This window comes from Homo sapiens, chromosome 2 (genome assembly GCF_000001405.40).
Source record: "Homo sapiens chromosome 2, GRCh38.p14 Primary Assembly".
Classification (NCBI taxonomy): Eukaryota; Metazoa; Chordata; class Mammalia; order Primates; family Hominidae; genus Homo; species Homo sapiens.
The window spans coordinates 85,860,811-85,875,171 of NC_000002.12; the positions used below are offsets into that span (position 1 = coordinate 85,860,811).

The 14,361-nt window shown below is 43.7% G+C and overlaps 1 protein-coding gene across 18 annotated transcripts in view, besides 1 other annotated feature; it reads right to left on the reverse strand.

The window, feature by feature from the left end:
• Positions 1 to 14,361, reverse strand: part of ST3GAL5 (ST3 beta-galactoside alpha-2,3-sialyltransferase 5) — a 51,915-nt gene that overhangs the window by 23,691 nt on the left and 13,863 nt on the right. For 11 of the 18 annotated variants that reach the window (XR_007084237.1, XR_007084231.1, NM_003896.4 and 8 more), the window contains 2 exons: positions 2,552 to 2,675; positions 371 to 482 (listed from right to left, as the gene is read on the reverse strand). Coding sequence is in view for 11 of the 18 variants with exons in the window: in NM_003896.4 (NP_003887.3) it covers positions 371 to 482; positions 2,552 to 2,675 (236 nt within the window). In the remaining 7 variants the exon portion in view is untranslated. Of the gene's footprint in view, positions 1 to 370; positions 483 to 2,551; positions 2,676 to 6,794; positions 6,861 to 7,034; positions 7,249 to 9,261; positions 9,449 to 14,361 lie in introns of those variants that run through there. The other 7 variants (NM_001354227.2, XM_047446237.1, NM_001354223.2 and 4 more) reach the window with 6 other exon arrangements.
• Positions 487 to 566: an enhancer, noted in NCBI's record as "active region_16143". NCBI's record gives its function as "activates an Ori minimal core promoter by ATAC-STARR-seq in GM12878 lymphoblastoid cells {active_cell/tissue: GM12878}" and the evidence as "EXISTENCE:reporter gene assay evidence [ECO:0000049][PMID:35858748]".

Below are 14,361 nucleotides of genomic sequence, written 5' to 3' on the forward strand. Positions count from 1 at the left end.
GTGCAGAGCGAGACCCTGACTCAAAAAAAAAAAAAGGGAGAAAAGAAAAAAGAAAGAATTTCTTTGTTGTTTACTTTATAGCATCAGGGCAAATTAATTCCAGGAGAGGAGCCCTAGAGCCTGTTGGGTTGAGCCCACCTCATCCCACACCCCAGCTGCAGTAAATGGGAGAAGGATACTGTGGAGTAGTTAGTGGTGGGTTTTTAGAAGAAGGTTGTCTTTGGTTTTGGAGTGCTGAGATTAAGTGCTTTCCCCTCTGAGTTCAAACTTTTATTAACATATATTTGTCACACAGTAGACTAATGATATTATAGTTTGAGCATATGCTTGGCAATGTTTTCATTTAAACCACACCAATGGGATATCTAACCTTTACATGGTCAGGGTCCACATAATGCATTTTTTTCATGTCACATTCTTCAGTAGTATAATTTAACTTGAGGATATAAAGGATCCACACTCCAAACACAAGCAATGTACATCTGGAAAAAAATCAATTAGGTATTATGATGTAGTCATGTGAGAATCATGAGATGCAATGTGAAACTGAAAACGGAATCCTAAATGAGTCTGCCTGCTATGCAGCATAAAACTACAATCTTTAAGTTGACATTGGGGTGAAAGGAAGGGGCCATTTCCTATTTTCCTGACAAGATAAACTAGTCATTTATGACTGTCTTTGTTATAAGCAAACACAGAAAAAACTTTTTTTGCAAGAGCACTGTAACAAAATCTGAATCACAATGTCAATTATTGAACTTAAAATCAAGTAATAGACTTGAACTACAGAATCTCGGCTTCAATCTTTTGTGACCTGAAAATTCTGTCAGTCCTTAAAAAAAAAAAAAAAAAAGAAAAGAAAAGAAACAGTTTATTCACAGTACGTCTAAAGAATTCTACCCGGAAGTGAGGCCGACTGGGAAATGAGACAGGACCATTAGTTACCCTTAAGATGACCTAAAAAATATTTTTTACAGATCTGATAAATTCACACTATTATATAGTTTAATACACACACACACACACACACACGACTTGGAGAAAAGAGCTGAGTCTAGTCTTAGTTTTAGAAATCTCATTTTTACTAAGTTCTCCAGTGACACAAACCGCAAGCTAAAAAGTTTCAACCAAAATTTAAGAACCACTGCTTTAAACAATTCTGTTCTTGAAAAAACAAATGCAAGAAATAAAGAGAAAGTAATCCATTTTCTAAATAAAGGGGCAGTTTTTTTTTCAAAAAAATTGCATCTAGCATAATATATTATACATAATAGATGCAAAATATTTCTTAATATTTGAGGATGAGAATACAATGAAGTGTTGCTGGGAGTGTTTTAAAAACTTTAAAATTCTCATTTAAAACAGGCTTCCCATGACAACTTGGACAAGTTGGGATTATGTATAATGATAAGTGAACAGGATGCTATCAATTTGTGTAAAAGTGGGTTTGGGCACGGGGCATGGCAGAGCACACACACACAAAATATTTCTCATATACACAAGAAACCGGTGACACTGGTTATCTTTAAATATGGAGGGTAAATGGGGAGCAGGGATGAGAAGGTGTTTCACTGAGACTCTTTAATACCTTTTGAATTTTCAATCTTGAAAACCTAATATTACCTATTCTTCTCTTCAGCCCCAGAAAAGGTGTTACATTCAGTGCATACACTTCCCTTATTTTGATTTAAAAAAAAAATAAAAGAAAAGGGTGTGAAGGCAAGCCCAGTGTCTGTAGCACATATCAGACTGTGCCTTAATTCCTGGAGCGAGTCCACCTCACCCACAGCCTAAGCAGCACAGGGCGCAGGTCTATCTCCCCTGCTGCCTTGTGGCTGGCGCCCAGCATGACGTCATGAACGTGGTGGGCCTCAATAAATATTGGTTGGTGACTCAAGGGAGGCTGAATGTAACATAAGCCTTATTCTTATAAATTTCCTTTTCCCCTACACTTCCTAAGTCAGTAAAGTGAGACAGAAGACTAGATTGCAAGGTTGGATTTCTATGTTTAGACATGAAAAAAGGGCAATTTTCAACTAGGTTTGACTGGTATATATGTAAAAAAAGACACCTGCCAAGTTCCTCCTTGATTAATTCTATCACTTATTAGGATATAAGGGTGACCTGGCTCAAACACCTGTCATCATTTTTAGTATTCGATATTTAACAGTATTCAAGGGCCTTCAGGGAAATTTAATTAACCATATTTTAGATTAACTTACAATAGCTAAGGGAAAAGCCCTCTTTTGTTAAATAAGGGCATGAAGAGCAGTGCACGGTGAGAGCTGCTCTCCCAGGCATCCAGGCCAAGGTAGAGAGCCTGAGCAGCTACTGGGCACTGTGCACTTACCAAATACAGCCAGCTGTACAGGCTCACTCCGGCTGTGCACTCAGTCTTTACTCAGACGTGCCTTTGAATGTCTGAGGCATCCTTTGACCAAGCATGCCTCTCCAACATTAGCCATCTTGAGGGCTCTCACTGAATTTTTCTCCTAGTTCTACACAGTTGACCCAAAGCAGGGGGATCTACAGTCCCAGGGGCGGTACTTACTTGAGGATGTCTTTTAATAACAAGCTGGGCCTTCTCATCTTGCTTTGAGCTCGGGTGTACCATTGCAGGGAAGGCCTCGAGCAATCACTTCTCAGTTTCACATAGGTGTACTCACTTGGCATTGCTGTGAAGAGAGGCGAAGAGGGCAGTGGGGAAAAAGAGAGGAGAGAGTTAGGAGGATGGATTATGGTTTTCAAAGAGCCTTTATATGTTGCATCCATACCATGGAATAGTAACTGGCAATAAAGAAGAATGAACTGTTGTTACATGCAACAAAGTGGGTGAATCTAGAGGGAACTATGCTGAGCTGATACCAAAATGTTACATACTGTATGATTCTCAACATTCTTTTTTTTTTTTTTCTGAGACGGAGTCTTGCTCTGTTGCCCAGGCTGGAGTGCAGTGGCGTGATCTCAGCTCACTGCAACCTCTGCCTCCTGGGTTCGAGTGACTGTCCTGCCTTAGCCTCCTGAGTGGCTGGGATTACAGGCGCATGCCACCATGCCAGGCTAATTTTTGTATTTTTAGTAGAGACAGGGTTTCACCCTGTTAGTCAGGCTGGTGTCGAACTCCTGACCTCGTGATTCACCTGCCTCGGCCTCCCAAAGTGCTGGGATTACATGCATGAGCCACTGCACCCGGCTGATTTTTAACATTCTTAAAATGACAAAATTATAGAAAGGGAGAACAGACTAGTGAGTGTCAGGGGTTGTGGAAGGGGAGGTAGATAGGTAGATATGGCTATAAAAGGGCAACACGAAGGACTCTTGTGAGGATGGAGATGTTCTACATCTTGACTGTATCCATGTCAGATTCCAGCTGTGATATGGTACTATAGTTTTGCAGGATGCTATCATGGGGGAAAATGAGTAAAGCATACACAAAATCTCTCCAGATTATGTTTTACAACCGCATGTGAATACAATTATCCTAAACTTTAAAGTTTATTTTTTTTAAAAAGGACCTTTTACCTTTTAGAGCTACATACAGAAATATCTACAGATCAAATAGCAAAAATGAGATCTGCTTCAAGAACTCAGGAAGGGGATAAGTGGAGGGCCAGGGAGAATAGATAAAACTAACTTTAAGCTGATAACTTACTAAACCTGGGAGATGGGTCTAGGGCTCACTACACAATTCTCCCCACTTCTGTGTATGGTTAAAATTTATATAATAAAAAAGTTTAAAAAGAAAGTTACATTAAAAGCAGAAGTGTTACATCAAAAAAAAAAAAGAAAAAGAGAGAATATGGCAATTTAAAAACACTTTTCTTAAAAAATATGTTGTGTGCCTGCCTATTTATTCTTTTGAAATAATTTTATTAGCAATTTTCAAGTTCTAAATAATATTCCAATAGTACTGTAGTAGGGATTGGTCCGTCTCCCCCATATTCGCTTTCCCCTAACTCAACTTAATACAGCTCTGGATTTTTAGTGGGGCATAGTACCTCCCAGAATGAAGACTACATTTCCCAGTCTCCCTTGGAGCTAGGACTCAAGACTAAGTTTTAGCCAATGGGATATGAGCAGAAGCATCCTGTGCAATTCTCAAGGTGCTTCCCTTGGCATACTCTGGCTTCTCCTGTATCCCCTCTGCCTCCTGACTGAAATATGGACCATGATCTGCCACTCTGGACCACACAGAGAGGACATTACTCAAGGATGGTGGAACAACAAGAGAAGGAGCTGGGGCCCCTGGGACAATCCCATAGGGCAGAGAGCTGCCACTCTACTTCTGGACTGGTCTATGATAGAGGAATAAGCTTCTGTCTTGTTTAAGGAATGGTTAATTAAAGGCAAAATTATATCTTAACTAATATAGGCACTAGTTACTATTATAATAAATGCATATATTAATTTAAGAAATAATGTCTTCACTATAGTTTTTAGTTGGATGGAAGAAGTTATATCTCATTCATTATTCACTTCATTTTTCCCGTTAGGGTTTTACCATCTTCTTTGAAAAAAATCTGTTTATCTTAAACTAAACAGGCATTCAAGTTTTTTTTTTCTGCTACTGTAAACAATCTCTTCCTTAACTCCTTAATTCTAATTCTGTGTAGCAAGAGTTTTTATCATTATGTATAATTCTATCAAAATAGTTTCAATAAGTGTTGAGGGCCTTATTAATAAACCTTTGCTGAAGAATCTGCTGAATTATTAAATGAGAAGTTAGAACAACTGAGATCCTGGAAGGTTTTCAAATACCACAATTCTGTGGTTACTTCATGTACAGTCAGCCAAGTGGTGGGAATCAGCAGGCTACCTGTAGCCTGTGCATATTTAAAATGGAAACTTCTGAGATGACTGGAATGATACTCAGTTCACACCAAAGTGGACCTCCAGAGAACAAAGATGACTGTGGTAAGAGTATGAGAAAGACTCCAGGGCTTCCGCCTCCAGGTGCTCTGTTGCTGAGCCAGACAGTGCTCTGGCTCTTGTTCTACTCTGCCCGTCAGACTATAAGCCTGTAAATATTTTCCGAACTCTCTCTTACCAGCTGGCTTCTCGTAAAGTTGTGATCCTAGGATGTGCTGGTGAAAGACTGGGAGGCAATCTTTCTTTTCCCCTGACTTGGTGAAGCTTTGGATAGCAGTAGTAGCAGGCAAGGGAAGGTGTCTACATGTGACTCCTGCAGCAGTCGTGTGCATTCGGATTCTTGGGTTTTTAGGCAGCAGATGCTGTGGCACTTCCAGTAACTTTGTGACAAGTACAAGCTTCAGACTAGGGGTGACAATGGCTCCCTGAAGACCAAATCCATCTCTCTAATGTGGACCTCTCACCTAAGCCCAGACCTGTATACCTAATGTCTTGTTTGCTATCTTCACCTCAAGCAACATTCCTAAATGGAACCTGGCATTTTCTTCTATTCCTTTCATTCTTTGGTATCTGAACCATCTGTTCAGCCATAAGATGAAAACCTGCAGGTCAACCAGACTTTCATTCTCAACCCCAGTCAATCCCCAGGGCCTGCCAATAATACCTCCTGAATTTTTCCTGTTCACTACATGCCTTTAATAGAAGTCACTTACCTCGAATGCCCTGATCTCAATTTTATCGCCTCAAAGCCGTCTTTCAAAAATACATATCTGCCTACTGGTTCCCAGCTTATTTCAGATTCTGTGACTCCATGTGACAAACCTGTCTATCACACTGCACAAAGAAGTACTGTTAGAAACCTGGATGTGCCAAATTGTTACTTCAGTGCCTTTGCACAGGATGTGCTCACAATCTGGAATCCCACCCAATAATCTGCCTGCTGAGCTACTTTTCATCCTTAAACCCAGCTCAAGCATCTCTTTCCTTATCTCTGAGGTCATTTTTCACCACCACATCCATCCCTGGGCACGTCCCTATCTCTGTTTACCACAATGAACTGAATTTTCTTTTGCAGACTCCTGGAGGAATGAGCTGCAGAGCCAGAACTCTGTTCACCTTTGTATCCCTAAAACCTAGGACAGAGATTGGCACACAGCAGCCCCTTAAGAAACATCTCGAATGGAATGAAATGTGCATTACATGTTTGTAGCCTGTCATCAAACAAGATAAACTTCCAAGAAAAGCATTTTCTCAATACTGATTAAGAGTAAAACTAAAACTGAATGTTAACAGAAATTATAATGGCAAGAATAAAGCATAAACTCTATTGAAACATCTAAAATGGCTGGGTGTGGTAGCTCACACCTTTGGGAGACGGGGATGGGATGATCACTTGAGGCCAGGAGTTTGAGACCAGCCTGGGCAACACAGTGAGACCCTGCCTCTACAAAAAAATAATAATAAATGAAACATCAAAAATGTCCAACAGCAGGAAATTTGTTGGTAAATTACAGCACAAACTACATGAATACTCTACAGTCCTTAAGATCTTGCTACACAGCAGGGTCTCTGACTGACAGCATCAGTGTAACCTGGAAGTGGGTTAGAAATGCAGAGTCTCAGGCCCGCCCCAGTCTTGCTGACTCAGCATTTTAATGAGATCCTGGGACATTCATATGCATATTAAAGTTTGAGAAGCACTAGCTTAAAGTACTCAGTACTTCACATTTATTGACACTGAAAAATATAAGAAAAAGGCAGTTTTATAAAAATCTATGCATCTACACATGTAGTTACCTCCTGGGATATATCTATTAAAGGTATGTGCTCTGTGGTGGGCAGGCATATGCAAACCCACCCCCAAAGGCCAAGGAAGAGGCTGACGAATCCAGTTTCTCAGAAAGAAACGTGTGATGGGGACTTACGAACAGAAGCCATGTCCTGGGTGGCGGCGAGACAGGATAATGGTTGCCCATGCTATTACTCCCCAGACTGAGGGTGTATACACCCAGGTCTTAAATACCATACTGAAGGAATGTATAGGACATTGACATCCAACCCTCAGGAAAATGCAAGAATTTGCCGAAGGGCAGGACTTATGGTATAACGGCAAGACTGTTTTGACCTAAGGGCAAGATTTACAGTAAGTATATGAAAGTAGAAACCTTAGAAGCCTTCCTGGGACTGGGGTTAGTCAGAAGTCAACATGGCAGATTAGCATCCAAGATGGCATTGCTTTAGCCTCCACAGTATAAGAGTTTGACTTCCCAAGAAGTTTCATCAAATCCCTCTACTTCAGCTCAGCAGGCATTACTTCTTCTGATTTGCAAGGGACCATGTGGATTCCACGTCCCTCAACATCACAAGAGAAGGGCCAAGCTGGGAACAACAGACAAACGGCAGAGTGGCCTCTCCATGATCCCTTGGAGAAGCCAGGGCTTATCAGCTGAAAGTCATGATCACCTTGACACCATCTGGACTGTTTTCACTCATTTCTTTTGTTTGCGATTTTCTGTTCGGTGAAAAGGTGGCAGTTGAAGGTTGGATTACATGAACATTGAATCAGGGGCATGCTTTGTTAATTGCTAGAATAACTGTGTCATAAATTTCAATAGCAATTATACTTTTGCTTTTTGGTTTGAGATGGGATCTTGCTCTGTCACCCTGGCTGGAGTACAGTGGTGTGATCACAGCTCACTGCGGCCTCAACCTCCTAGGCTCAGGCCATCTTCCCACCTCAGCCTCCTGAGTAGCTGGGACTACAGGCACACACCACCATGCCGAGTTAATTTTTGTATTTTTTTTTTTTTTTGTATAGACGGGGTTTTGCCATGTTGCCCAGGCTGGTCTCTAACTCCTGGGCTCAAGCCACCCACCAGCCTTGGCCTCCCAAAGTGCTGGGATTACAGTTGTGAGCCATCATGCCCAGCTGGCAATTAAACTTTTTTTTTTTTTTTGAGATGGAGTCTCACTCTGTCGCCCAGGCTGGAGTGCAGTGGCGTGATCTTGGCTCACTGCAACCTCTGCCTCCCGGGTTCAAGCAATTCTCCTGCCTCAGCCTCCCGAGTAGCTGGGACTACAGGCATGCGCCACCACACCTGGCTAATTTTTGTATTTTTAGTACAGACAAGGTTTCATCATGTTGGCCAGGCTGGTCTCAAACTCCTGACCTCAGGTGATCCACCCGTCTCAGCCTCCCGAAGTGCTGGGATTACAGGCGTGAGCCACCGCACCCAGCCGGCAATTATACTTTTAACCAACAAAAAACGATCAGACTGCAGGGGAAGAGTGTTCACGTAGCCATAGGTAATTATAGGCGTAGAGGCATCTGGAAGAAAGTACACCTGTCATCAACAGTTAGTACAATTGTTTTGTCTTTGTTTTTTTAGAGATAGGGTCTTGCTCTGTTGCCAAGGCAACAGTGCAGTGGTGTGATCATAACTCACTGCACCTTCAAACTCCTGGGCTCAAGCGATACTCCCACTTTGGTCTTCTCAGTAGCTGGAACTATAGGCATGTGCCATTGCACCCAGCTATCTGTTTATTTGTAGAGATGGGGTCTCTCTCTGTTGCCCAGGCTGGTCCCAAACTCCTGGCCTCAAGCGATCCTCCCGCCTCACCTCCCAAAGTGTTGGGGTTAAGGGCGTGAGCCACCATGCATGGCCTGGTGGTGCAATTGTGAGTGAGTTTATTTCTTTTTGCATTCCTTTTTTTTTTTTTACTACCTGAATTCCATACATTACCAGTTCTATTTTTGAAAAACTGAAACTATTTTCACTTAGGGAGGAAATCCTTAAGCTACGATTGAAATTTAAGCTATGAAAAGACATTTGAAAATCACCCAAATAAAATATTTTTAGGATCCCTTGATCATCTCTTTAGTATGGGACAAAAATATCCCCAAAATTAAGCATTTAGGCTTAAAAAGCAGAAACAAATCATGAGGAACTTCACTAAGAAAGGACCACACGTTTGCTGAACTGGAAAAAAACAGATTTATGGAGGTGCAAAATAAAGGATGTCAGCACTCAGCAAGTCCAGTTTGCCTCAGCGGGCAGGAACTGGGTTGCTCCCTTTCTGTGGAAGCCTCACTGGGCTTCCAAAGAGATGGTGAGTGAATCCCAACGGACAAAGGATGACAGAGGCCCCTCCCTTCAGAAGGCTCACACTTTCTCACCTGATCTGTTCTGGCACTGCAGCTTCAGCTAGAGACACAGGGTGTCACAAATAGCTCCCCACACTGAAGCCACCCAGCCAATGGTGAGCGCGCACACACACGCACACATAGCCTCCGTTCAGTTAAGCAAACGAGACCCTCTCCTTAATTCAATTAACTTACATAATGTGAATGCTTGTGTTAGAATAATAAAACTACAGACATGCCCTACTTACCAAAATTGCTTATGTGGATATTCCTGTATGCATGCTTTCTTTTTTCTTTATAACACTAATCATGAGACATGTGATTCTTCATAAGTTTTTTACTTTTGAATTACACGTTTGTCTTGTCTCCCCCACTAGAATGCAGATTCCATGCAAGCAGGGGTCTCTGCTTTGCACACCACTGTCTTCACAGTGCCTAGGAAGGGAAGAGGCATATAAAGGGCATCCATATCTGTTTACTGAATAAATACGCAGTTTCTTATGAGGGTTTCGGAGGCGATGGTGGTTATAGGCCTTCCTCCAAGGCTTTTGTTGGCAGGCCATCACAAGGCTGGCCTGTCTTCTTCTGTCCTGTGGCTCCCTCCTCGTTCTCCTTTTTCATCTCCTAAGAGTTAGGATCCCCAGGGCTTAACAATTTGATACTCTTCTCACTCAGGCTGCCAGGAACAGCCTCCGCATCATGGCTTCAGCAACCACCTTTATGCAGAAAAGGCCTGACTTTCAAAATTATATTTCTCTACCCACATATTAAAATGTAACAGATTCTTCTTAAAGAGCCCATATGAAGAAATAATTCTTTTTTGTGTGCTTTTTAAAATGATAAATAATCGTACACTTTTTTTTTTTTTTTGAGACGGAGTTTCGCTCTTGTTGCCCGGGCTGAAGTGCAATGGCACCATCTTGGCTCACTACAACCTCTGCCTCCTGGGTTCAAGTGATTCTCTTGCCTAAACCTCCCACGTAGCTGGGATTACAGGTGCCCGCCACCATGCCCAGCTAATTTTTGTATTTTCAGTAGAGACAGGGTTTCACCATGGTCTCAAACTCCTGACCTCAGGTGATCCGCCCGCCTTGGCCGCCCAAAGTGCTGGAATCCTACATGTTTATGGAATACATGTGATATTTGGATACATGCATACAATTTACAATGATCAAATCAGGGTAATTAGGATATCCATCACCTCAACCATTTATCTTTTTTTTTTTTTTTTTGAGACAAGGTCTTACTCTTTTGCCCAGGCTAGAGTGCAGTGGTGCAATCATGGCTCACCGCAGCCTTGACCTCCCGGCTCAAGCAATTTTCCCACCTTAGCCCTCCAAGTAGCTGGAACTATAGGTGTGCACCACCATACCCAGCTGATTTTTTTAATTTTTAGTAGAGACGAGGTCTCACTATGCTGCCAAGGCTCATTTATCATTTCTTTGTGTTGGGAATATTTCAAATCTTCTCTTCTAGTTACTTTGAATTACACAACAAATTACTGTTTACTATAGGCACCCTACTATGCTATCAAACACTAGAACTTATTTCTGTATTTTCAATAATTCTTAAGGCCCTAATGAAGAAATATAAGGGCAAATTTGGGCTTTCAGTCAATTTGTAAGACATTTAACTTCTTCAAAATTAAGAATTAACCATTTAATGTAAGAGTAGAATAAATGCCATAAAGCAGTACATGATGAATTGCCAAATTAACTATACAGATAATTACTGGTGCATGAGTAAGGCACTGATATTTATTGAGAGGGATAAGCCGACATATGATCTAGTGAACCTAAAAAAACTTATATCACTGGATTGCTGTCTGCATTTAACCTGCCAGAGGACACACATGGGTAGACACAGAGCTGAGAACTCCAGCCCACATCTATGCACCTCCACACCCATACTTTTCCAGCAGCAGGGTGGTCAGAATGGGGAGGACCTGGAACAAGAGGAGGGTATTTGTAATGTCGGGAGGGGGCTGCTTTCTAAAATAGTGAAGTCACACCAGGGCACAGACGGTTATAAACAAAAATCTGAAGTTGGGAAAGCAGAGAATAAACCAACATAGCTGCAGTGGACTGTGTGGGAAGGCAAGCAGGTGCAGCTTATAGGCTAATATGGCCAGCAGAGCACACTCTGTGGGGTGGGAGGATTCCAAGAGCAGAAGGACTTCCCAGCACAGCAGGAGACAAGCCTAGTCTGCTGCATGCTGGGTGGGCGACAAGGCAGGATCCTGGGCCCTCCCTACTGTGGTGTCCAGGCAGGAGGGGAGCCCGAGGCCTACCCTGGTGAGGGGGACGGGGAAGGAATGGGGACAGAGGTCTCTGAGCCAGAACAAAGGCAAGACTGATGACGAACAGAAGACAAACAAAAGCAAGAGTGGTGATGAACAGAAGCAGAACAGGGACAAACCTCGGTCCCAATCAGAGAAAGAAATAGGAATGGAAGTCAATTGTTGTCCTTGAGGGGAGATGATGAATTTGAGATGATAAATTACCACATGAAACTGTCCACGAGGCGAGGCAGGCGGATCACCTGAGGTCAGGAGTTCGAGATCAGCCTGGCCAACATGGTGAAACCCCATCTCTACTAAAAATACAAAAATTAGCTGGGCATGGTGGCGCACGCTTGTAATCCCAGCTACTTGGGAGGCTGAGGCAGAAGAATCGCTTGAACCCAGGAGGTGGAGGTTGCAGTGAGCCGAGATTGTGCCACTGCACTGCAGCCTGGGCAACAGAAAGAAAAGCTCCATCTCAAAAAAAAAAAAAAAATGTCCAGGAGGTACTTGGGAACGTGCACGGGGCCGGCTGGAACTTCTGCAGCAGGTCTGACTGAAGTAGGCCCCAAGCCACCCACTGTGCAGAACAAATGAACTGCCCTCTCCCGTGCACCTAGACTGGTACCTACCATCTGTGCACCTGGTACCCGTGCACCTAGACAGGGACCTACCATCCGTGGGGAAGGGAGAAAACAGCCATTCAAGTCACCGTTGGAGTTTTGTGTTTGAGAGGAAGAATTCCACTTGGCAAAGGAGAACGGAAGACAAGGCAGGAAGCCTTACCTCAGCCAAGAAGACAGTGTTGGGATGCATGCAGGTTAAAGCCGCCTAGCGACCACATGCAACAGCTACAACTACAGCAGCGGCATGGGGCGGCCGAGAGGAGGCAAGACATGGTGTGCTGTGGGCAGACAGAATGAAGGGGCCAAGCAAGTCCTGCCCCAAGGTGGGGCTGGGGGGTGCAGGCAGGACGAGAGCAGCGTTGTGGCCCTGCTGTGGCCACTGAATGTTGGCTGCTACTAGAACACGGGTGTCCCCTTCTCTGCACATCTGCCTTCCATCCCCAGACACTGAATGACTGACATGTTAAAGGCTGGCCCCCTCGCCTGGAGATGGGACCACCGTGAGAGCAATTCAAGTTCCCGAGCTCTGGGCTGAGACCATGGCTTTGCTCAGCTCTGCCCAGGCCTACTCTCTTCATCCTGGGAACTCCCTCAGCAAATCAGGAGTCAAGTTGGGTTAGCAAGGTCAAGGTAGATTAAGGTAAAGGTCAAAAAGATCATGGATGATGAAGGGCCCTGGAGGATTTTATTCAGGAAGGGGACATGAAACGTGGAGAAAATCATGGGGCAGCAGTGGGGACAAGGGAGGAGGGAGGCTACTGAGGGGCTACCACAGCACTCTGGGCACCACAGGCTCAGCACGGACAGGACCTGGGATGGATCAGATGAGGCGAGAGTCAAGGGAGAGGATGACTCAGGTCACAGGGAGGAAAGAGGAGCCCTCTGTAGAGAGAGGCCATGAAGAGGAGAAAATGCCATGGAGACACTAAGTTCAGCTTGGCCTTGCAGAGTCCCAAACGCCTGTGGGCTGCCAGGTCGGTAAATCCCACAAACAGCTAAGAACCAGGCCTGACGCCCCAGGAGGGACCTTAGCTGGAGCATCAGGAGAAAACAAAAAAACAAAACAAAAAAACAACCACTGGAAGAGGCTGCAAAGCATACAGATTCCCACACTTCATCCCCAGAATGTCCCCCCTGGTGGTAGGTCCAGGTGAGGATGCTGACTGTGCATGTTAACCAAGTTCCCCAGTGTTATGTGGGTGCAGCACTTTGAGAAATCCTGCCCACCAGCAAGTTTCTCACAGCTGGAGGAAAGCCGTGTAATTAACAACAGATTTTTAGCCTACATATTTTCAGATTCTCCTACAAACTGAGCAGAGTTATGAGGACCTACCTTCTGCAATGAAAAAAATTAAAATGTTGCTGTGTGAACGCACAATCAATACTGTACTAATTTTGACCATCAACCAAGATGCAAGCACTTCAGTGATTCTCGTGCTTTTTAATCTACTTCAAATCTACTATTCCTCTAGTGTTGAGAACACATCATTACTGTCATTCAATTGCCTGCTTTTTATAAATGTAAAAGTGTTAAGGCAATTAATTCTGAGCCCTTGGACTATATGAACATTCTCTAAAACTATAATGTTCCCAGCACGCACGATGGGATTTCTCCAAGACTTTACTGAAGAGGTAAAGATGTCAAGAGGGCAGTTACTCTCAGAGCCCAGTTCCGCTTCCACCTATCTCACACTCTCCTCCTCACTCCATGTCAACCAAGGGGGCCTCGTGCTCGACTTGCCCTTCCTCTGCTGCCTCTCTGGATGGCTCCCTCCCCACCATCTCCGTTCTGGTTTTCATTCAAAAGTTGCCTTCCTTGACCACCCTCTGTAAAACACGACTTCCACCCCCTCACTTTCCTGCTTTACTTCATAGCATTCATTGCCACTGATACATATTTGCCTATTCTCTGCTCTCCCTACTAAAATATAAGACTCCCAGCTTAGGGACTGTGTCCATTTTGTTCGCTGCTGTAATCCAGGAACCTAAAAAGTACCTCGCATATAAAAGGCATTTAACAAGCACCTGCAGAGTGAATGAACAGAAGAATGAATGATCAGTGGCCTGCAACTAGATCCCCACACAAAGTTAACCCAAATTCACCACGGTCCTAACAAGAGACCACTGTGAAGACCAGACCTTCCAGGTGTCCAAGTATCATAATCATTGGGCATTTATTCAATGTCCAGATGGCACCAGGCAGATGGAAAACAGGGATTGAGATACTTTTTCAAACAAGACCCACCATATGTGTTTGTTGAGGGGAGGCTAGGGGAACAATATAAAATGACTGTCTCCCCCCCACCATGGAAGAAAATGGCAAACGGATCTTTTTGTTGTTGTTTTTGAGACAAGGTCTCGCTCTGTCAGCCAGGCTGGAGTGCAGTGGCGTGATCACAGCTCAGTGTAACCTCGAACTCCTAGGCTCAAGTGATCCTTCT